This window comes from Homo sapiens, chromosome 12, assembly GCF_000001405.40.
Source record: "Homo sapiens chromosome 12, GRCh38.p14 Primary Assembly".
Taxonomy (NCBI): domain Eukaryota; kingdom Metazoa; phylum Chordata; class Mammalia; order Primates; family Hominidae; genus Homo; species Homo sapiens.
In genome coordinates this window covers 119,479,286-119,504,026 of record NC_000012.12, presented here as the reverse complement: position 1 = coordinate 119,504,026, position 24,741 = coordinate 119,479,286, and the positions used below count along the sequence as shown (strand labels likewise).

The 24,741-nt window shown below is 44.1% G+C and overlaps 1 protein-coding gene and 1 long non-coding RNA gene across 11 annotated transcripts in view, besides 1 other annotated feature; one reads left to right on the top strand and one right to left on the bottom strand.

The window, feature by feature from the left end:
- The window catches only part of CCDC60 (coiled-coil domain containing 60), a 206,312-nt gene that overhangs the window by 37,014 nt on the left and 144,557 nt on the right, over nt 1–24,741 (bottom strand). For 4 of the 7 annotated variants that reach the window (NM_178499.5, XM_017018912.3, XM_017018913.3 and 1 more), the window contains exons 5-6: nt 15,161–15,268; nt 3,859–3,949 (exon numbers count right to left, since the gene is read on the bottom strand). In NM_178499.5, coding sequence (NP_848594.2) covers nt 3,859–3,949; nt 15,161–15,268 — 199 coding nt within the window. The other 3 variants (XM_017018914.2, XM_017018911.3, XM_017018916.2) reach the window with 3 other exon arrangements.
- PRKAB1-AS1 (PRKAB1, TMEM233 and CCDC60 antisense RNA 1) overlaps nt 1–24,741 on the top strand; it is a 280,141-nt gene that overhangs the window by 164,101 nt on the left and 91,299 nt on the right. The window lies entirely within an intron of this gene.
- Nucleotides 16,846–17,398: an enhancer, noted in NCBI's record as "OCT4-NANOG hESC enhancer chr12:119924434-119924986 (GRCh37/hg19 assembly coordinates)". NCBI's record gives its function as "activates a minimal SCP1, AML or CMV promoter by ChIP-STARR-seq in naive H9 embryonic stem cells {active_cell/tissue: H9 hESC(naive)}" and the evidence as "EXISTENCE:reporter gene assay evidence [ECO:0000049][PMID:30033119]".

Here is a 24,741-nt window from a genome sequence, read left to right as displayed (position 1 = left end):
TGCCCCAGAGAAAGAGCTCAACACAGAGTGGGCTATAGTTTATATTCACTTAATAGAAATAATTTTATCTGAGCACATTTACAATGAAAGCTCTTGATGGATAGACTGGTGTTTTCTTTAGATGAAATTCGTAGTGTTTGACACCCTGGGAAAGGTGATAGGGAGAAGAGACAGCATTGAAGACCACACCAACATTTAATACACATTGCGCAGGGTGGAGAGAATTGTATTCAGCAGAATTCATTTCAGGGAGTCCACTGTATGTGATCAGAAGCAATATTTTGAATGGCTACCTTGTAGGGCACTGACTATGGGTGGAACCTTCTTGCACTAGAAGAGGGGAGGGATTTCTTGGTTGCACAGGAGAGGGAGAAGGTTGGGGAAGAGGAGGGAGAGGCTGTGGGCCTTAACATATGATCTCTCCCTGTGCCTGCCTCATCTCTCTCAAATCTTCAGTGAAATTCTGTACAAACGACAGAATGCTTCAGAATATGATAGACTGGAGAAATGGAATTTGAACTGGATTTAACCAGATCTTCAAGAGGCCATGCAAGTTACAAAATGACTGATCAAGAAATGCCAAGCACCCAAAGCAGGCATGTCCTCTCCTTTGATAAATTAGGAGCTTGGTACAATGATCCTGTTGTCCTGACACTGCAACTGGTCAAGAGCTTGCAAAACTGACAGAAGGCCCCTCTACTCTTTGTCATTCTGGGGAGAGATGATATCAGAGCTCAGGGATGAAACATGTAGAAGTTGCCTCTTTCCATTTTATCTAGAACAATATGAATTCCTGACTCTAGGAACCAGGCTCTTCAGATCAACGTAATTTTTTTATTTTTATTTTTATTTGACAGGGTCTGACTCTGTTGCCCAGGCTGGAGTGCAGTGGCACAGTCTTGGCTCACTGCAACCTCTGCCTCCCAGGTTTGAGCTATTCTCCTGCCTCGGCCTCCCAAGTAGCTGGTATTACAGGTGCCCACCACCATGCCTGGCCAATTTGTTGTTGTTGTTATTTTTGGTAGAGATGGGGTTTCACCATGTTGCCCAGGCTGGTCTTGAACTCCTGAGCTCAAGCAATCTGCCCGCCTTGGTCTCCCAAAGTGCTGGGATCATAGGTGTAAACCACTGTGCCTAGTAAAATCAATGTAATTTTTGAAGGGTGGACAGATGGTGGCATGAGGCAGCTTGGAATCTTGCAGTGAGCACTGGAGTCAGAGTCAGGGTACCTCAGGGGGGCCTTGAATATGTCACTCTGCCCTGCCTCAGTTTCCTCATTTATAAAACCTAGGGGATAGCCTGGGACAATTTCAGAAGAGCCTTCCATATCCAGGGGTGTCTTCCTTGAGCTAGGATTTCATCTTATGCTCCCAAAGTTGCCATTAATTAAAATTTAATTAACCATCCTAGCCAGGAAATCCAAAGTGAAGGGCTGACACTTGTGATTAATTGAAACTGGCAGAAAAATAAAATGTAGGGGGAAGATGTGACAGGCACTGGCTTGCCTTTTATTGAACTGAACCTCTCTGAATTGACTTAAATCCCTAAATGCTGCTTCTCTATTTTTTATATTTCACTCAGCAGTTGTGTTAACCAGTTGCTATGTTCCATCTCAGTAGGGACTGATTTTTGGCAACGGAGGAAAAGAATTTGCTGAAAGGTTCCTTACACTTTCTGTGAAGTAGGGGTTGCAGACTGGTGGCCCATGGGGAGACATGTTTAGCTACCCAGGATTTTACAAATTGGGAGACTTTTATATAAAAATGTAAGTTTTTTGTTTCTTTTGAAAATGATAAGCTCTGGGCTCCCATTCTCACAAGGCAAAATGAGCTAAAGCTGCACAGAGGTTCTTCCCTTTAGCTGTGCAGGAGTGCTCCAGTTTGCCACAGACTCCACCACTCCCTACTGTATCACACTCAGCCTGATCTTTTCTTTTATTAATAACACAATTTGCCTGGCCCCTATGAACACTGCCTAGACATACAGAAGAGTATCAGGGGAAAAGAAGAGTATTGTGGGAGCTGGTTGGATTCCCTCCTTCAAAGTCCTCATTTTATAGGTAGACAAACTGAGGCCCAGAACAGGGGAAAGGATTTGTCTGAGGTCACACAGTGAACTGAGTCAGCATGGCTGAGCCAGGTCTCCTGCAGCCTAATTGAGTGCTCCCCCATGCCCAGAGTGGAACGTGCTGCAGCCCAGGATTTGACCCACAAACTTGAATTCAGTTTTGCAAGAGTTCAAGCACAGCTATTCATTCTCCCCCTCCCCTCCTCCAATTTTAGTGGTGAATATCCCTGAAGGACTTTTTTTAAAGGTTTGTAGCTCCTGCTGCTTTTTCTGTGCATTTCTGAAGACGGATGCACACTGTATCTCCATAGCAACTTTCTGCCATAAAAACCAAGGCTCGTCTTAAATCTAGGAGCACCCTGATGAAAGAGTAAGAAAATGGTGAAATTCTTCATGAGGGGCAACTATAATCATGGGGTCAGGAAGACCAGGCATTGGATGTTTATATGTTTAATAAACCTATTGATGTTTATATGTTTAATAAACTATGTTTAATAAACAGACCCAGAATTAACTTCTGGCTCTGCCAGTACCCAGCTGGGTAACCTTACGTAAGTTACTTAACCTCTCTGAGCCCCCAAATACCTCCTCTCTCACCTGGGGGTAAGAATAGTGCCCCATAGGGTTATTAAGAGGGCATAACTGGATAATATTCCTACAGAAGCTTCCTTAGCACAGAACCTAGCCCATTTACAATTATGTTGAACAGTGGCCTCTAAAATTTACATAACCACAGTAATGCTAAGCATTCTCACATTTTCAAAGTGTGTTTGCCTTATATTTATTTCCTGGGATTCTTCACTAAAGTTGTGAGGTAGGCAGGAAAGGGCATTATATCCATTTCATAGGTTAGGGGACAGGTTCAGCAAACGCTCTAGTTGTGTGCTCTATTACCTTTACCTATCTCAATATTACCTTTTGCCATTATTATTATTATGATTATTAGGCTTGTTTATTGAGTAGATGAGTTTGGGAGGTCCTGGGTTAGGAATACTTTTGGGTAAAAAGAATCTGTATCTTGGTGTCCTCTTAATAACTGCACCTTCTAGTTTGTAGAAAATCTTTGTTGAATCACTCACTTTGTCTTTTCTTTTTCTTAGAGACAGGATCTCACTCTCTTGCCCAGGTGGGAGGCTGGAGTGCAGTGGTGGGATCATAGCTCACTGCAGCCTCCAATTCCTGGGCTTAAATGATCCTCTCACTTCAGCCTCCCTAATACCTGGGACTACAGGTGCACACCACTATGCCCAGCTAATTTTTAAATTTTTTGTGAAGACGGGGTCTTGCTATGTTGCCCAGGCTCGTCTCAAACTCCTGGGCTCAAGCGATCCTCCTGCCTTGGCCTCCCAATCCTTTGGGATTACAAGCATGAGCTAGTGTGCCTGGCTTTTATTTTCTGACTGGGTTAAAGCGGGGTGGGGGTGGGGGGCGGTGAGGGAGGAAGCGAGGGAGGGAGGGAGAAGGAGAAAGAAATGACTGTTATTGATTTAGAAGATAGAGTGAGGTGAGTCCATTTCCTTCTGGTGACATCTTGTTAAGCAGCTGCTTAGCACCCCCTCCTGTCCCCATTATGTAGTGTCCAGCCAAATGTCATTTCTCCTATAATCCCTAGATAACTGTTTTAATTAAAATTTACAAAAACCATCCAACAGCCTGTGGCTCTGACTTCCCTTCACTCCGAGAACCAACTAGGAAAAAAAAATTCCCATCAGAGAAAAGACTGGCAAAAATACTCCTCAACACAAGCTGGGACCTAGGAGCCAAAGGGTTGAGTCGCGTGTTGTTGGTTACCTTTGGCGCTGTGATGAAATGCTCCCATTTCTGTCCCATGGACTTGTCCTTATTGATTTTTTTAATGGTGCTCTTGCTTCCACCCGGGTCCCTGAGTGAGAAACAGCTTAATGAGTTTTCCGTTTCCAGAGTCTTGGTTTATTACAAGTTCTTTTAAGAAATGCAATAAATAGAGGAGGAATGGTGGCTGGGCTCTGTTAGGATTTCCTCCCCCACTCCTCTACTTGTGAAGAAATGGGGGGGATAGTTCTCCATAGCTGGCTCTTTTGAGTGAAATCGAGGTTTGGAGAGACTTTTGCTTACTGGGTGGAGGAGGGAGGTGGTATATATTTGCATGTTTTTTGCATCTATTTGTATTTTAGACTCGGTCCTCTCCTAGAATCCTGGGCAGGTCTGCGATTACTCCTGAGGGGTGAATTGAAAAGCATGTTCATTTCTAAATCTTTGCTTTTTCTGTTGCCCAAGGGGTCCACCATCAGGGACATTTCTGAGAGACACACAGAGAATATTACTGGGTGGGATTGAGGGTGGGGCTGATGGGGGTGGATTGCACAATGAAAATCACTGATTGGAGGTTGACTGGGCATAAGTTCTCTACGACACTGTGTGCAACACCTTTCTGTGCCTTCTGTCTGTATCATCTCAATCACTATAACCTTGTGATGTAGTCATTGTCATCCCATTTTCAGATGAGAAAACAAACTAAGGGAGTTTAAGTCACTTACTTACAGTGAAACGAATGAAGCTAAAGCTTCAGGGCTCCTCACTAGTGTGGGTCCCTCTTCCAGGATCCTGTACCTAATTTTGTATTGTAATTTTGTATTTTTTTTTCTTAAAATGCCCTCTCCCCAGTTAAATAAGCTTCAGGCTCCACAAAACCTGGATCCTCCTGTCATGGGTTGGGAATTTTCTGGATAGGAGACTGAAGCCCAGTAGGTTCTGTTGGTGACACACCCATAATTCCTTGTATGAAATCTGTGGGACCAGATTTGTTGCCAAATTAATAATTTTGGCATTTTGGAAAGGAAACATGCTGCATATACTGTATGTTAACATAATCCCTCTGAGGGGGCTAAAGGGACAGCATCCTGTAACCAAATACATGAATATTTCTGCAATGAAACACATGGATATTTACACTAGGTGGGAGAAATAAAGACCAGAAGTAGCTTCAAGTCCAATTTTGCTGCCAACTTCGATTGGTTCCTGTCAGATTTTGCTGCCAAATGAGTTATGAAAAAACTGAGTTTTCAGAGCTTGTGGATTTTGGACTTGTGGCTATGGGGAAGTGGGTCTCTACTGATAAGAAAGCAGGGAGTCTCAACGTGTGATCTCTCAACTACCTTTACATATCGATTGATCGACTGATTGGTCTATCAATCTCTCTGTCCATATATATCTTTTCATCCATTCATCCATCCACCTATCTGTTTCTTTATTCCCTTTTTCTTTGCAGAAAGAATTTTATATCACAAGGATCCTTTTAATTATTTGTCTAGCTCTCGCCTAGCAGAGAGCAGGAACTTGAAATAAGAAGACGAACCGGGCTCATGCCTGTAATCCCAGCACTTTGGGAGGCCAAGGCAGGCAGATCAACTGAGATGAGAAGTTCGAGACCAGCCTGGCCAACATGGTGAAACTCTGTCTCTACTAAAAATACAAAAAAAATTTAGCCAGGTGTGGTGGCGCACACCTGTAATCCCAGCTGCTCTGGAGGCTGAGGCAGCAGAATCGCTTGAACCTGGGAGGCGGAGGTTGCAGTGAGCCGAGATCGCACCATTGCACTCCAGCCTGGGGGACAAGAGTGAAACTCCGTCTCAAAAAAAGAAAAAAAAAAGAGGATGAACAGAACTGCTTTGGTTTAGGGAGACAATGACAGGGGTCTAGGCTTGTTAGGGGCTGCTGAGTGCTGGTGGTTGTGGGTAGAAGGGAGGTGCTCAGATATAGAAGGCAAAAGGTGATCAAGATAAACCTAACTTAAGGCTGACTTCTCATGGCATGGAGATCTGAGTAGCAGAATCAAAGGCTTTTCCCAGTCCAAATAAGGAGTTGGGGGTGTCCTCTCTTCACCAGTGGGACTTTGCTGAAGATCTACCAGCGAACAGCCACCACACAAGAAATGCACACAGACCCAAAGTGGAAGTCGGGCTGGTGAGGTGGGGTGAGAATGTGCCTCTAAGCTTTTTGTAAGACTTTATGTTTGATTACACAATAAAAAGCCCTCTGAATAATTAACAGTGAAGCTCATTTAAGTTGGTTCTGCCTGCCTCTCCCCCGAGTAATCAAATTAGGGGATATTTAAAATCCAGCCAGAAGAAGGAGCAATCCTTCAGTCCTATAAACAATATTTAAACTAGCAGTGCTTTTGAAGTCTGATTTAAGGTTCACCCACTGGAAGCTTTAGTGTTTTTTTTTTTTCACTTTGGAGCATTTCTTTCAAGACCACAGGGCTTTTCGCATTTCCCTTTGCTAACGCAGCCCCTGCTGAGCCTCCAGCCTTCTTCTCGAAGTTCAAAAGCAACCCCCTTTCCCCTTTTAAAATTAAATCTGGTCCCAGCAAAGCTTTCAAAATCTTAACTATTCAGGTCCAATCGGGAAGATGGAAGTTTTCCACTAATGCTGACTTCCAAGATGACCTGAAATCTATTGCGACTTCAAGCAGCAGGCTAAATGAGTTCAAAATGCAGCAAGATTCCCACAGACCTTAAAAAGCTCGGAGCCCTTGCTCTTGCAAACCCATTGATAAAGAAAAGGCCTGGTTAGCTGGAATCGGTCTTTCTGATGTTTCATTTTCAGTAGCAAATAACCCAAAAAGGAAGATCAATAGGGGAAGGAAGAAAAAAATAAAACCACCTAAGCTGCATCATCCATTGCATACCTTGTGGAGGAGGGCAGAGAGGGTTGGTGGTCCTTCCCCCTGGCCTGGTGGGGTAAGCATTAGTGCCATCGACCAAATAGTTCCAGGCCTTCTCTGCTCTCTGAAGGCAAGTGTAGCACTGTGACTTGCTTTGTTCAAAAATACATGAGTGAAAGTGACATGTGGGACTTCGGGTAGATGATTTAATAGCTAGTCCTGAAGTCATCGGATTCCTTTTTCTGCCTCGTTGATGGTGGAAGCTTCTATCAGCATGAGTCCCTGAGTAACTACAGAGTAGAGCCTCCCTGTTGGATTTGAAAGGTGAGCCAAGGAACAAGCTTTTTTTGCCTTAAACTGCTGAGATTTGGGGGTTGTTCATTATGGCAGCCTAACTTACTTAGCTCACCCATTTAATATCCTTGTGATTTACTGTCTGTGTGACCTCGGGCAAGTCTCCGAGTATCAAGGCCAGGAAAGTGTTATCTTAGTGGTTAAGAGTGAATTTAACAATAGGTTGGACCAGCTGTTCGAGTCCTCTGTCTTCCCCACTGCTTCCTACATGTGTGACTTGGTGTAAGTAATTTAGTCTCTCTGAACCTCACTGTCCTCATCTGTAAAATGGGGGAATAATAGCAGCTATGACAAAGGATTGCCGTGAAGATGAAAAGAAATGGGGCTTATTAAGGGCTTCATGGGTGCTGTGTACAGAGAGCTGAATACAGTTCAGCTATTAACAACAATAACCTTCTCTTTTCAACAGAGATTTACTGTGGCTTAGAGGAGGAGCTGATGGTAGACAACAGGGTACTAGGGCAGATCCTTGGGGGAGATGTAGCTATAACTTTCAGACCGTAATTTTCCCCTGCTGAAGCTTCCTAGGGGATCCTATTTGCCAGAAATCAAGGGAATAGGGCGCTGAGCACTGTCAAATCTCTTTTAACTATATCCGCCAAGCACATTTTGTTCCAGGCTGTCACTTGAAGATGTCTATCCACAGTGGCAATTCAGAGCAATTTTCTCAAATACTTCGTGCTCTCTTTCTGAACTCCCATCTGGGGTAAAACATCTGCTTCCCAGGGTGGAAAGCTGTAGGCTAGGTTAGGACGTGCTCATATGTCCATGACGGAGGGGAAGAGCTGCTGATTCTGCAGCAGGGCGGGGGCAGAGGTCAAAGCTCTGGGGACTTCCTGGACCAGGTGGTTCCATCCTACCTCCTGAGTGATGATCTGATCCTCCTGCCACATTCTCCCACTCCACAGAGATGTCCACTGGAGTACCACAGTGGAGGAGCCATGCAATTAAATCAGTGCAAAGAGGAGAGCAGGGGAAATCAGAGATTTCACTCATATGTCACTGTCTGAGTGAGTCTTTCCTTGATGACCCAATTTAAAACTCCCCTGCCCATCACTAGCACATCACCCATCAATTTCTTCATGACACATTGCTATCTCAAAGTATCTTGATTATTGCATGTTTATCATCTGTTGCTTCCCTCACCCCCTGTAGAATGGAAGCTCCTGAGAGCTGGGGTGTTGTCTGTTTTCTTCACGGCAGTATTCCCACTAGTGCCTGGAAAAGCCAGGCTTGAGGAAAGTGAGATTTTCTTGGTTGTGGGGGGAGGAGTACCACAAGATAAGGGAAAACTAATTTAAATATAAACAATTTAAATTTTAAAAATGCTATTATGAGTGCTGCTCAGAACGATTGCGACAGTATTTCATGGAAGCAAAAACTTGGAAAAGACGTAAAGGTCTTGGAATATTGGTTAAATATGTTTCAGTACATTCGTATGCTGATAAACGCCACAGCAGAGGTTCAGATCTGGAGAGATGCTCCTTATATACTAAGGCAAACAGCAAAAATTTAGTTTCAAAACAGTATGTGCAAAATGGCACTTGAAATTATTTTATAAAAGAAAATTGCAGTTTATATGTGATAACATCTCGGTAAGTCGAGTCCCTTTTGTATCCTGGGGCCTCCCAGAAAGTACCACATTGTAATAAGATCTTCTTTTCTTCGAGGCGGGGCATCAGATTATTCTCTAAGTTGATTAAAGACTTTGGGATTTACCTACAGAGAAACAACCATTTGGGGGTGAAGCACCCATACTTTGCAGCAAGGTTACCTGGGTTCGAATCCTGCCTTACCTTTTGCTAGCTGTGCAACTTTGAGCAAATTAATTTTCTATGCCTCAGTTTCCTTATTGGTAAGTTGGAATGAGGCTTAAATGAGGTAATACACCCAGAGCAGTGCTTGACATAGAAAGCACTCAAGTGCCAGCCATTTTCATCATAAAACAGTAGATGGATTTTGATGTTTGTGTCATATTTGAGACGGAGATTTGCTTTTGTTGCCCAGGCTGGAGTGCAATGGCATGATCTCGGCTCACCGCAACTTCCACCTCCCAGGTTCAAGCAATTCTCTTGCCTCAGCCTTCCCAAGTAGCTGGGATTATAGGCATGTGCCACCAAGCCTGGCTAATTTTGTATTTTTAGTAGAGATGGGGTTTCTCCGTGTGGGTCAGGCTGGTCTCGAACTCCTGTCCTCAGGTGATCTGCCCACCTCGGCCTCCCAAAGTGCTGGGATTACAGGCATGAGCCACCACGCCTGGCTGATGTTTGTGTCATATTTGAAACCTCAAAGTGTGGTTGGTTGCCTTTTACTCATATGTGTATTTCTAAAGGAAGGGTGGATTTTTTGTGCCTGGACAGCCCAGCCCTTGAATGTCTGGTGTCTCTTAAGAGTAAGGATTACAAGAGTCAGGATTATAAGAATCAGGATTGTAAGCGTAGGGATTACACCCACTTGGTCTCCCCACTAAACAGTGGGCCCAGTGGTGTCTCTCTGGACAGCCTGAAGCAATAAGACGTAGACAACTGTACTGCCCCTGTGGCACCAGGGGAAAGCACAGGACTCTGGGGACTCGAGCCTGTTGGAACAACTCCTTTGAGGTGTGTGCTGTACCTGCTGGAAGGTTAGTAGGTAACTCTTCACTCCCTTCTTTGGCCAGGGGTCTGGCCTGTTTCTTCTCCACTGTAACTAGGGAAGATGGCCACAGGGGTAGGGGAGGCAGCATTAGAGCTTGTCAAATTTCCCCACAGCTGATGTCTGTGACTCTGTAAAAGTCTACTCATTTCTAGGTAGGTCTTCGGTTGGTTCTTGGAAATTTGGTCTCTAATAAGAATAAAATCAATACAGGTTCACAACCACTTAACCAATTCCAAAATCCAAAGAGTCTTTAAACCAAAACAATTTAAATGGCTTATTTGGTAGCAAAGCATGACAGAAACTGATGGGAGGCTGTTAGTGGCCTTTTTTTGACCTTTGTTATGCACTTAAGATAAATATTCACTTATTTGTTTTCTGCAGAAATATTGTGTTTGATGACAGGCCCCTCTGGGAGTGTGATGTTCTATATGGCACATGTATCATATTTCCTTTTTAAAATGCAAAAACAAAACAAAACAAAACAAAAAAAACCCTCAGAATTCTGAAATGCAGTTGGCCCTAAGGGTTTGAATAAATACTTATGGGCATTCATGAAAAAATCAGATCCTACTTTGCCTAAAAAGAGGCTTATATCTCTTGGAGAAACGTAATTGGCACATTCATTATTGAAGGGTTGGTTTCAATTTCTACTGTGGACCCGATCATCTTGTCAATTGAAATAAACTCTCTTGTTAGCAGTGGAATTAACAAGGATGCTGAGAAATGATAGTGATAATGTGTTTAAATTGCCACATGATGAAATTGGGAAGTTGAGGAGTTTTTTTTTTTCTCAATAAAGCAGAGACTCAGATGCAACTCATAATGACACCCTAAAATCTGTCATCTGTCCATTCACCCAAACATCCACCAATCCATCCAAATATGAGATCATCCTGCAACTAACAAAGATTGTTCTTCTGCTTGCAGCACAGTAACTGCCGGTTAGTGAAATTTTGCTGCCTGTAGAAAGCCCTCATTGAGGTATCGAACCACTCCGACTTTCTTCCTATAAAATCCATAAGGGGGAGGGATTGGGTCTACAGCTGTCATTATGCCTAACTGAAATGGAGCCTCTGGGATCTACAGGTCCCCAAGGATGGATATCTCCTTTTGGAAAATGCACGGTGGGTGTCAGGGCTCAGGGTTTAAGTGTCAAAATGCTTTAGTAACAGGAGATACTGGTTGCTTGATGATGGAGACTCAGAAAAGCACAGTCAGGAGAACTGGAGATTAGGTATTACCTTCTTGGGCTCATTACCTGGGTTGTTTATCTTTGCAACTAGGTTTTGGGCAACCTTCTGTAGCCTTTTTTCCCTGTTTGCATACTTGTCTGTTCACCCAGTGAACATAGGTCTCACCTGTTGGTAAAATTCTGCTCAGAAGTTCCTTTCTTTCCTAGCCTTCAGTCTCAATGGTACTGATAATCGTACACCTAACTTCTCTTTAAAATAGGGATTTTTACATTTTATAGCTGTTATTTAATGAACATTCATTGTGTTCCCAGATATTAGGCTAAATCCTCTATGGACTTGATTTTGCTTAATTCTTACAATAACTTCTGAGGCAGGAACACATTTAACCAATGAAGAAACAGAGGGCCAGAGATGTCAAGTGACTTGCCCAAGGTCACACAGCTATTAAGTGGCAGAGCTTTGACTCATCTGGGTTCATCTGATGCTAAACCCTTTGCTCTTAATCACTCTAATCCCTCTGGGTTTAAAAAAATGCACTTGAAGATTTGGGGAAATTCACACTGCTGCATAAGGGTGAAACGTCATAAATAGGGATTAAGTGTTGAAGAGAAGAGCTCTTTCTGCTTTCTTATAACTGAAAAGGTGTTTTCTTATACTTTATAGAGAACTTAAACTGCCCCCCAGATTCATAATTTTTAAAAATGAATCCCGAACAGTGGTGTGCTGGAGCTGGCTCATAGTGGCTCATAAGAACGGATTCTGTACCTCTCTTCCCAACTCCAAGTTCGGTGATACCATGTTGGTAAGATTGAAATCAGCCACGGTGGGAGTATTTACACCGTGGAAATTGGCATTGTCACAAATCATTGTTCTTCACCTCCTAGAGAACTGGTTGTTAAAACATTTACCAGCATTGTCATTGACCCTAAACTAAAATGCCCACCAGGAAGAAATAGTCAGCTAGAAAAAACAACCCCAACAAATACCGTGACTTCCTATGTTAATCTTCCTGGACTGCATTTTTTACCTCAGGTGGCTAGGTCTGGTTCAGGTTCTGATTTTATAGAGCTGGGCATCCTCGGAGCGCTGATAGAATTCTGCCACTACAAGTCATGGTAGAACATCTGCTACTCTCAATGTGACCACTACGTCTTTTTACTGCAGTTAACAATTTTTGGTCACGTTCTGAGCACATTTCTAAAACCAACCAAAGGAAAGAAACATGGCCCTTTTTCTCTTCTCAATCCAAATTCCACATGATGTTCTTTTCTCAGTTTTGGAGAATGGGTGCCCACATGTAGGAGGAAAATGTTGCTGTTGGTGGTTTGTTTAGGGAGATGAAATGCTGTCAGGAGCCCTCTGGCTCAGAGGCCTTTTTCTTAGAATGTAAGCAATCAAGTAAGGAAAAAAAAAAAAAAGATATTGCTTTTACCTAGTGATTCTCCTTCCCGGAATCCAGCTAACAGAAACACTTGTAACTGGGCATAAAAGATATGTGTAAGGGGCCGGGCACAGTGGCTCATGCCTGTAATCCCAGCACTTTGGGAGGCTGAGGTGGGCAGATCACGAGGTCAGGAGATCGAGACCATCCTGGCTAACATGGTGAAACCCTGTCTCCACTAAAAATACAAAAAATTAGCCGGGCGTGGTGGCGGGCACCTGTAGTCCCAGCTGCTCAGGAGGCTGAGGCAGGAGAATGGCGTGAACCCAGGAGGCGGAGGTTGCAGTGAGCCGAGATCGCGCCATTGTACTCCAGCCTGGGCGACAGAGCGAGACTCCATCTCAAAAACAAAAACAAAAACAAACAAACAAACAAAAAGAGATGTGTAAGGATATTCCACACAGTACTACTTGAAATGTCAAAAATTGGGAAATGACCTCAGTGTCTGTTAATAAAGAAATGGTGTATATTCCATCCATATGATAGAATATTCTGCTGCCATTGAAAGAATGTGTAAACCTGTGTATACCATCATGGAAAGATGCCTATTGGTTATTGTAAAGGGGAAAATCATGTAGAGAACAATATGCAGATATGATCCTATTTCTGTTAAAAAATGTGACTGTTTATGTTTATAAAAGGAAGGCATTAGAAAGATTTGGAAGGACATATCATAGACTTTTAAAAGGAGTTTTCTTTAAGAAGGGGATTTCAGGGAGGGAATAAAGGCTTTCATACTTTATATACTTATACATTTTTTGAAAGATTTCCATAAGCATAAATTGTATTCACTTATTACTTGAGCAGTTTTATTTTAGAGAAAAATAAATAGCCTGTAATCCCAGCTACTTGGGATGCTGAGGCAGGAGGATTGCTTGAGGGCATGAGCTAGACACCAGCCTGGGCAACATAGCAAGACACCATCTCTAAAAAACTTAAAAAACAATTAGCCAGGTATGATGGCAGGTGTGGTGGCATTCACCTGTAGTACTAGCTACCTGGGAGGCTGAGGCAGGAGGATTGTTTGAGCCCAGGAGTTCGAGGCTGTGGTGAGCCATGATTGTGACACTGTACTCTAGCCTGGGCAACAGAGCAAGACCCTCATCTCTTTAAAAAAAAAAAGAAGAAGAAGGCATGAAAAATGTTTTAAGGCTGTGGTTTTCAAGGAAATTCTGGAAGCCACAAAGACATTTTGGAAATAACTAGGGTGCCGTGATGGGGATAGAAGTAAGTTGGAGGGGTCCCAGGTCTCCCAGGCTCCCAAACCTCTTGCTTCATGAAGAACTTCCATTTAGAAAAGTCTGTTTTACATTACAGAGGTTTCTATTTAAAAAAAAATGAGGTCTGCTGCTTAAAAAAATAAAGTCTGTCAACCACTTGTATCAAAAGAGACTGTAGTTTTAAAATTATCCCAACCAAAAACACTGAATTGATTGGAGTTACTGATCTATCAATGGATGCATGATATTGCTGGTTGCATTTGAGGTTAGTTTCTCTGGGTCCTGGTGTAAGAGATGACTTGGGGGTGGAGGAGATCTAGGGGATGGGTAATAAATGTCTTCAAGAGGAAGAAGTTAATTAAGACTTAACGTTTGGCCGGGCGCGGTGGCTCACGCCTGTAATCCCAATACTTTGGGAGGCCGAGGCAGGCGGATCATGAGGTCAAGAGATTGAGACCATCCTGGCCAACATGGTGAAACCCCGTCTCTACGAAAAATACAAAAATTAGCTGGGCATGGTGGTGCATGTCTGTAGTCCCAGCTACTCGGGAGGCTGAGGCAGGAGAATCGCTTGAACCCGGGAGATGGAGGTTGCAGTGAGCCGAGATTGCGTCACCGTACTCTGGCCTGGTGACAGAGCAAGACTCTGTCTAAAAAAAAAAAAGACTCAGGTTTTGGGAAGAGGAAGACTGGATCCACCTGGGAGGCAGGACTATGGGAGGGCATGGGTTAGCACGGGGGGTGGGGAACTATTTTATTTAACTCAGCCTCTGATTTTCACAGTGAAAAACTGATTCTTCAAGTCAGGGTTCTTTACTTTTGTTTGTCCTCTTCTTGCAAACAACCTGACCCTTCTTAAAGAACCAATGCCTTTACATGCCTGTCTGTTCTTTGTTCTGCCCTGTGTGTACAATGCTGTTCCTGCAACAGTGGCGTCCAAGCTTTTATGTGAGCTCTCTCCTCTGGTGCGGACACCTAACGCTTCTCTTGACCTAGACAACATGTTCTGGAGCTTCTGCCTGTACAAACCCAGCTGCTCCAGGGAACTGAATACCAAATATTCCCTTGGGTCCAAGTGGAGAAGTAGCCACCAATGTATATTAAGCAACAAAAAGACCAAAGCAAAACAAAACACAACCTTGAAAGAAAGGATAAAAACAAAAACAAAAAGAAAAGAAAGATTAAAAGGGAGGGAAAGGAGGAGGAAAAGGAAGAAGAATAAAGAATAGTGTAGGGAGACGCAGTCCAAGAAGAGAGTTGGAGAGCAGTCAAGCTGTGGATCCAGTGATGTGCTTCCATAGCTTGCCAATTTCTGTGGTGTAAATACTCCCATGTGGCTGGCTGATTTCAAGCTACCCATGTGATGTCACTGAATGTGGAGTTGGGAAGAGATGTGGGAAGGAGATGCACACAACCGGCTCCCACGAATCTGCATAAGCTGTCTCTAGTTCTCCCCTGTTCAGATCCCACAGAGCACATAGAAGAGGAACTGAAACAGCCCACCTACCAAAAACAGCAAAGGGAGTGGAAGAACATACAGGAATCTCTTCCCCACTGCCCAGCCTACTGCTAGTCTAAGACAAGTTGAAGGGCTGAGGCATACTTTGGGTTCCAGCAGGTGATCACAGGCTTCATGGTGTGGTGGGTGTGGTCAATAGTCAGGGCCTCCAGAAGCCAGTGGAGAGCACAGAGCTGGCGGAAGAGGGGCTCGCTGCAAAGACAGAGAGAGGGAACACAGTGGGATCCTGTTAGAACAACTTTCTTCGCAAAAATAGCCACAGAAATAGTAGTGGTACTTGCTCCCAGTGAGGGAGCAGGCACCATGCTCCAGGCATGCGCAAGTATTTTGCATGTATCATCTCATTTGGCCTTTGCAATGGGCCCATGAGATATTCTGTAGCCCATTTTACAGATGAGGAATCAGAGGCTCACAGGACTTTAGGAAGTTGTGCCAGGTCACCAGGCCAGTAGGTGATAGAGCCCATTTGAAATGAGATTATCCAATGCCAGTTACTGAGAATTTGTATATATAGCAGGGAGAGAAACAAGAAGGGGTCCCCCAGCTGGAAGTCTTGACTCAGGCAAATGAGAGGCTTCAAGGAAATCAGCATCCTATGTATGTCCAATTGTTAATCTGATAAAAGTACAATAAATAAACTAAGAGTGTGTAAAAAGTCTGGAAACTCAGGGAAACTAGTGTATTAATTGTTCTTCTCCCCCCAGATTAAAAATGGGATGCATTGCTTTACATTTATGAGTCCTTTGCCTGAAAATGTAGCTGGGTTTTGAAGAAAAACACAAAGAGCATATTACTTGAAAATATTCACTAAAACACTGTTTAAAAATATGTCTCAGGCTGGGAATGATGGCGCATTTGTGTAATCCCAGCACTTTGAGAGGCTGAGGCGGGTGGGTTGCTTGATCTCAGGAGTTTGAGACTAGCCTACAAAAAATACAAAAATGAGCTGGGTGTGGTGGCATGCACCTGTGATCCCTGCTACTTGGGAGGCTGGGGTAAGAGGATCGCTTGAGCCAGGGAGGTCAAGGCTGTAGTGAGCCAAGGTCACACCACTGCATGCCAGTCTGGGTGACAGAGTGAGACTGTCTTAAACAACAAAACCACATATGTCTCACCTACATTTTCTGATTTTTTGGACACTTTGTATTAAACACCTACAAGGAGGCAGGTATTGATGGGGGCACTTTATACACATTATTTAATTCTTCCTACAACCTGCTGGAGTATGAATTATTATGCACATTTTAGAGAAGGGGAAACTGAGGCTCAGAGAGGTGCCATCACTTTGCTTAAGGTCACAGAGCCTGTTGGTGACTGAGATGGTTCTCAGTATCTCATTTAAAGCTCACAACGAGGCCAGGCACGGTGGCTCACTCTTGTAATCCCAGCACTTTGGGAAGCTGAGGCAGGCGGATTACTAGGTCAGGAGTTCAAGACCAGCCTGGCCAACATGGTGAAACCCCCATCTCTATTAAAAATACAAAAATTAGCTGTGCACGGTGGCAGGCCCCTGTAATCCCAGCTACTCGGGAGGCTAAGGCAGGAGAATTGCTTGAGCCTGAGAGGCGGAGGTGGCAGTGAGCCGAGATCATGCCACTGCACTCCAGCCTGGGTGACAGAGCAAGACTTCATCTCGGAAAAAAAAAAAAAAAAGCTCACAACAATCCTTTAGGTAATATACCGCTCCCACCTCCTCTTTACAATGGGGGATGGGAGGCTCAGAGAGGGGCAATGAGTGACTTGAGGTCACACTGCTAGGATTAGTGAGAATTTGAACCAGTGTCAATTTAACTCCATGTCTGTGCTCTCACGGGCCTGGGCTCTGAGGAGGTGCTGATGAAGCTGATGCAGTGGTCACCCCAAGAGCGAGGTCAGGAGAGGGTTAACCTGCTGCCTGCCTTTTTCCTGGAAACAAGGTGGAGTCCTGGCCAGCCACCCCCCTCCCCGCAAGATTTCTCCTCTTAACACTAATGGGCCAGATGCCTCCATTAAGAACCTGTGTAATTGCTCTTCTCTGAAACTGCATCCTGCCCTCATCAACACTCCCCAGGGTTCCTAGGCCTGGTGTTTTCAGGGTCAGGAAGGTATCTCTACTCTCTGTTTCCAGGAAGGCACCACTTCAGAAGGTGATACCCAATCCCTGGGCTCAAGTGTGGAGCTGGCCCAGGGTTATCCCGGCTAATCCTTGAGAGGCATGCATTTGCTTAGCTTGAAGGGGAACAGCCCTGCCCTACCCCATCCCCTCACCTCTGTGTACTAGGGTGGCTGTATCCACCAGGTCTTTGGAAAACTACCATGAGAAACTCTCTTTCCTTTCTTCCCTGGAGTCTTTTCCTTCTACAGATTATCTACTAAGCGCCTACTATTCCTTTACTTCTAATTTAAAGGACTTGTAAGCCCACAGCTTTTTCAATTTTTTTTATTAAATAAAACATTTGTTTAAGAGACAGGCTCTCATTCTGTCACCAGGCTGCAGCCTCCAACTCCTGGGCTTAAGTGATCCTCCTGCCTCAGTTTCCAGAGTAGCTGGGACTACAGACATGCATCACCATGCCCAGCTAATTTTTATTTTTTTTTGTAGAGATGGGGACTTCCTACGTTGCCTAGGCTAGCGTCAAACTCCTGGCCTCCAGCGGTCCTCCTGCCTTGGCCTCCCAAAGCTCTGGGATTATAGGTATGAGCTATTGCACCTGACCCCTTTTCAGTTATTGTCTCTTTCTTCTCCCATAACACCTTCTTGGGCCCTACAGGTGACAGCATTTTGGTAGGTCTGGGTACATAGGCCATGTCCAGCATTTAGCAATAGCAGCAGCTAGCTGTGCCACATGCCTGGCACTGGGCCATGAGCACCTCACTATACCCTCCCCATAACCCTAGGAGGTTGTGAGAGGCCGGGGGAGAGGCCTATGGGTTCTTCTGTTTTGCAGCTTGGAGCCCCTGCAGGCCTGGGCTTTGGGATATGTGGGGTGGGGAGGGAAATGAACAAAGGAAGTGAATTGGTGAGATGGGGTCTGCTTGGTCACAAGGTGGTGGAGGGGAAGCGGGGCATGTGAGCATCAGATTCATTTCTGCAGATGACAACAACGGATGCAAACCTGACCCTCTCCCTCTCTTGCTTAAAATCTTCAAACTTCCTAAATAATTTGTAATTGGCTGAATTGTGGACATACCAGATTCATTTGTTGAAATTCGAACCTCTGTACCTCAGCGTGTGACTGTGTTAGGAGATGGGACCTTTAAAGAGTGGATTCACTTATAAATGAAGCCATTAGGGTGGTCCCTAATCTAATCTGACTGGTGTCCTTATAAGAGGAGGAGATTTGGACGCCTAAAGAGACGCCAGGGCTGCGAGCACTGAGAAAAAGACCATATGAGGACACAGAGAAGACAGGGAGAGAGCGATCCTCCAACCTCGAGAGGGTTGGGAGAAACCAACGCTGACAGCACCTTGATCTTGGGCTTTCAGCCTCCAGAACCATGAGGAAATACGTTTCTGTTCTTTAAGCCACCCAGTCTAGTAGTTTACTATGGCAGCCCCAGCAAACTAATCCACTGACACACATGAGGCCCCGTCCGCCTCTCCAGCCTGGAGTTGTCCTGTCTGTTCCTTGTGCTACCACCTGCAGCCTGGCAAAAATCCACTCAGTCACTCAAGCTCACCATGCTTGCTCTTTGCACCATCCATGTTAAACTTCTAGCTTTGCCATCTACTGGCCCTGTGGCCTTGGCCAAATTACTTAACTTCTTTGAGCCTCAGTTTTCTTATCTGTAAAATGGTGGTAATTGCAGTACCTCTCTTAAAAGGCGAGAGTGAGGGTGAGGTGATGTGCTTAGCACTGTTCCCTGCTCCTGATACATATTCCTGCTCCTCTTCCTTCTTGACTCTCAGTGATTGGGCTTCAGCTCTCATCTCCATCCGGAAGCCTTCCTTGATTGCTCTGGGTCTGGGCTGGGCTCACTCTAAGGAGGTTCTAAAGCATCCCCATCCCTACAATATGTCCTCCCTGTCCTCACCTTTGGGTTCCTGCTCTGCTGTAACTACCTGATTACTTGACTTTCCAGACCGTGAGCCTACAACCTACAGAGTCCTGTCCACCACAGGGTGCTCTGTGCTCTGCACAGAGTCAGCTCAATAGATTTTTCAGTTACTGATGGAAAATGGTGGGAATGAATTGGTTCAGATCTGATATTTTTCTGAACTGATAACTTGAGCACAATTCTTTTTTTTTATTTTTTTTGAGACAGGGTCTCACTCTGTTGCCCAGGATGGAGTGCGGTGGCGTGATTTTGGCACACTGCAGCCTCTGCCTCCTGGGCACAAGCGATCCTCCTACTTCAGTCTTCTGAGTGGCTGGGACTACAGGCATGTGACACCTGCCCAGACAGTTTTTGTATTTTGTAGAGATGGGGTTTTGCCATGTTGCCCAGGCTGGTCTCAAACTCCTGGGCTCAAGCGATCCGCCTGCCTCAGTTTCCCAAAGTGCTGGGATTACAGACGTGAGCCACTGCACCTGTACTTGAGCACAATTCTTATACACAGAACCATTGAGATAATAAAGAGTAGTAACAAAAACAACAACAACAGAACAACGAAGTAATACTAATGGTAAATATTTCCCATAAGAGTCCTTACTCTATGCCAGACCACTGTTCTAAGTGCCCAATATCCATTAACTAAGTTCATTCTTATAAAATCCTGTGAAGAAGGTACTATTATTATCCCCGTTTTGCAGATGAGGAAACTGAGGCATAAAGGGCCTCAGTGACTTATCCAAGGTCACAAAAGACAGCAAATGGCAGAGTTGGAATGTGAGCCCAGGCAGTCTGGCTTCTGAATTCGTGCTCTTAATGAAAATGTGGATGTTGTCTCTTGTTACAGGGTAGAGACTCCCTTTTCATCAGAATAGGGTTTCATCTGATAGATCTGGTCCTTTTTCTCTGTTTATAAAAAGTGCCCTAAACCTGATGATTGCTCTTCTAATCTGCAGTGAAACAAATTAAAAAAAAAAAAAAGTCCCCAGAAGCATGCTTGATAGAAATCGGTCTTTTCTCATAATGATCATGTGTCAGGTCATAGCATAGTATCTTGGATTTTATCAAATTAGAAGAGAGAACATTTATTTTTTTAAATGCAGGGAATAAGAGGTGAAAATGCTGAACAGGGTTACACAAAGCCTGCTTCTGAAGTCCCTGAGCTCAGAACTCCGGGCGAGTGCCAGCAGTCAGCACACCTGAATAGCTCACTCTATTAAAACTACTGTACCAACCAGAATCCTAGTGGGCATAAACATCTCTGAGAAGAAAGCATTTTTTTTTCTTTTACAAGAGAAATTGGAAAATGCATTCAAAGCCATTCCAAGCACCCCGTGCTGATTGCCAAGGGCAAATCTCGACACAGGTTGCAGGCATTGCCCTTGCTGCCCAATCACTCATTAAAGGCTGTGGGGCACAGCCCAGTCATCTAGGAGGGAAAAACGAGGGGCTGCTTCTCATTCCTAGAGACCACTCCCTTCCCTTTTTAAAGATAAAGGTCAGTCTCTTGTTACATGATTGAATTGATCCCTACACAGTCGATTTGGAATTATCAGCCACTTTTGGGATCGATCACACAGGGACTGAAGGGACTGACCAGGCTCTGATCCGCATTGGCTGATGTGACAACTGAAAATTCAGGAATTATCAGGCAGGGCCAGCCCTGGTGCCTTTTGGTAGACTGATGACAACAATGCCATCCCTCTCTGCTTTGCACACTTTGGGATGTGACTTTGCTGCTTCCCCCCAACAAGAAGGGAAGTCTTTCCCCATACTTCTTGTATCTAGGCTGGCCTGGTGACTTGCTTTGGCCAGTGGAATGTGGTGAGAGGGTAACTGTGTTCATTCTGAGCCTAGTTCACAGATGGAAAATGCAATAATCATCACCAGCACCATCATCATCACTGTCATTGCCCTCAAGGGGCTTTGGGTACTTAGGATCTTGTTCTTGGAACCCTTTCTGCTTGCCATGTGAACAAGTCTGAGTTTGCTTGCTGGGTATTGAGAGACATTCAGCATCTCACCCATGTCACCCTGGCCACCAACCAACTAACCAAGACTTATGAATGAGACCATTCGAGATCAGCCAACCTCCAGCTCACCCATCAGCTGGGTGTACACACATAAGCACATCCAGCCAAGATCAGCCGAGCCAACCTGACCAGCAGAACCACCCTGCTGACATGTAGACTTAGGAGCAATACTAAATCGTTGTTTTAAGCCACTCCATGTCGAGGTGATCTGTAATACAGCCATAGCTTACTAATAAAGTCATCAAATGCAGCCAGAGCCTTTGAACAGCTGAGGATAAGAAAAGGCAGCCTTCAGTGCTGGACAGGGACTACAGCAAACTACAGCCTGTGGGCCTGCCACTTTGGTTTTGTAAATAAAACTTTATTGGAACATAGCCACATCCATTGTTGTAGTTTTCATGCTGCAACAGCAAAGTTAAGTGGTTGCAAGGAATACCACCTGGTCAGCAAAGCCTAAAATTTTTACTGTCTGGCCCTTTAAAGAAAAGTTTGCTGACCCCTGGTCCAATACAAATATGAACCACATCCACTGTGATAATAATAATAATAATAATAGTAATAGCCTATGTAACAAACCTGGTGTAAAGATCTGACTTAGCTGTCAGGAGATCAAGATTCCTGTTGTGAATTTGCAATTGCAAAAATGTGGAACCAACCCAAATGGCCATCAATCAATGAGTGGATAAAGAAGCTGTGGCATATATATATGTGTGTGTGTGTGTGTGTATGTGTGTGTGTGTGTATATATATGTGTATATATATGTATATATATGTGTGTATATATGTGTATATATATATATATGGATGAGTAGTATTCCATCATATATATACACACATATATATACATATATATACACACATATATACATATATATATACTATATATACATATATATATACATATATATACTATATATATATGATGGAATACTGCTCATCCATATAAAGGAGTGAATTTATGGTATTTGCAGCAATTTGGATGAGGTTGAAGACTATTATTCTAAGTGAAGTAACTCAGGAATGGAAAACCAAACATACTGTGTTCTCACTCATAAGTAGAGCTAAGGTATGATGATGCAAAGGCATAAGAATGACACAGTGGACTTTGGGGACTCAAGGGAAAGGGGTGGGAAGGAGGTGAGGGATAAAAGACTACAAATTGGCTGCAGTGTATATGGCCCAGGTGATGGGTGCACCAAAATCTCACAAATCACCACTAAAGAAATGATGTAACCAAACACCACCTGTTCCCCAAAAACCTATGGAAATAAAAAAATTAAAAAAAAAGATTCCTGTTGTGAGACTTTTGGCAGGTTCTTCCCCCTTTCTGGGCTTTAGTTTTCCCATCTGACATTGACAGAAGATGGGTAAGAAACTCTCTTCATAGCTGATTTAAGTAAGCCTCAATGGCTCAGACCAAATAAATTGTGGATTGGGCTCAGGAATATGCATTCTCAGAAACATTTCCTCCCTGCTCTCCCCCACCCCCAGACGATTCAGATGCAAGTGAAAGCCCACTGGTTCTATTCCAATTGGTTTCAGAAGTCTTGTCCATGGGAGAGATGGGCAGAAGTGCAAGTGTACTGAAGAGACATCATGAGAAATTGCAAGGCCTATTTTTGCAAGGAGATGCTTTAAGAACATCAAGCTTAGGCTGCCAGCTGGAATATTATAATCATAATACCAATCAAAGAGAGGTAGGGGGACAGTGGGATGGGATGGAGTGGGATAGGGCTCATTAATGACTGAAATATTAGGGAGGGATAAGGATGTGTCCAACACAATGTGATGATGATGATGGTGATGATGATGATGGTGATGATGATGATGGTGGTGAGGATGATGGTGATGATGATGATGGTGGTGAGGACGATGGTGATGATGATGATGCTGGTGATGATGATGGTGATAATGATGGTGATGGTGATGATGGTGATGATGGTGGTGATGATGATGGTGATGATGATGGTGATGGTGAGGATGGTGGTGATGATGGTGGTGATGATGATGGTGATGGTGATGATGACAGTGATGATGGTGGTGAGGATGATGGTGGTGATGATGGTGGTGAGGATGATGGTGACGATGGTGGTGATGATGATGGTGATGATGATGGTGATGATGATGATGGTGAGGATGATGGTGATGATGATGGTGGTGATGATGGTGGTGGTGAGGATGATGGTGATGATAATGGTGGTGAGGATGATGGTGATGATGATGATGCTGGTGATGATGATGGTGATAATGATGGTGATGGTGATGATGATGATGATGGTGATGGTGATGATGGTGATGAGGATGATGGTGATGATGATGATGGTGTTGGTGATGGTTTTTGCATCTTCCATTCATGAACTAAGTACTCTTATTAGTGATTTTCTTTTGTTTGCCATCTTATCCTATGATTTCACTCTTGTATTCTTTTACTCTTCAAGTATAGGAAACTTGGCTTGCCAAATATATTATGAGCTCCTTAAAGACAAGGCTTTGGGATATATGTTCTATGTAGTGTGTGGTGATGAAAGCTTGGGCTTTGCAGTCAGACCGACCTGACTCAGCAACACACTGACCTCTGTGACCCTGAATAGGTGAGTTTATGTCTCTGAGCTTCTGCTTTCCCATCTGCAGAGAGGGGATAATGATACACCTACACAACAGGGAGGCTGAGAGGACTGAGTGAGATAATGCTACAGAGTGATGAGGAGTGGCCATTATCACTGTGAACACTGTAGAAGCCTAATAAATATTTGACAAATGAGCAGACAGAGAAGTCTGGAATCATTGTATCACAGCTCTAAATGAATCCATTGCCCTAAAGCAGTGGTTCTCAATGTGGAGTGTGTGTGTGTGTGTGTGTGTGTGTGTGTGTGTGTGTGTGTGTGTGTGTATGATGTACGGTGGGGGCTCATGCACTTTTGCTCCCAGGGGACATTTGGTAATGTCTGGAGACATTTTTGGTTGTCAACACTGGTATCTAGTGGGTAGAGGCCATGGATGCGGCTAAACATCCTACAATACACAGGACAGCCTTTCACAACAAAGAATTAATTATTTCTCTCAAAATGTCAGCGGTGTCAAGGCTGAAAAACCCTGCCCTAAAGTCAGAAGCTTGTATCCCTGTGCCTGAAATCTTCCAGCTGAAAAGTGCTAACTGGTGAAAAAGAAAAAGTTGGGCTTGAGATTTGGAATAGACACAAGGGGAACAAGACATCAAGACTTTAGAAAGCAAGAGTGTTCTTTGGAAGGTTGATTAGTTCCTGTTGCACCACACAATGATGAGTTCATGCCTCAGGTCAGAAAACTGGATGGGCTTCTCTGGGAAACAGCTCCTTGAGTCTTGGGGAAAACATGCCCCTGAGCACAGGCTGAGATGTTCTCGCACACACTCGATGAGGGCTGTAGACAGATTTTATCAGGCTTTGCAAACTATTTGACATTAGAGCGTCTGGCTTGGCAAGAAATGAAATGACTCAGTCCCAGCTGATTTGCCACTTAGCTGTAAACCACTGTGTCTACTTTCTGTTATTTTTATATGCCAAATAGCTTTGCCAGCTCCAGGCTCCATGTCCCTTTCAAGAGGACAAAGGAACAGCTACT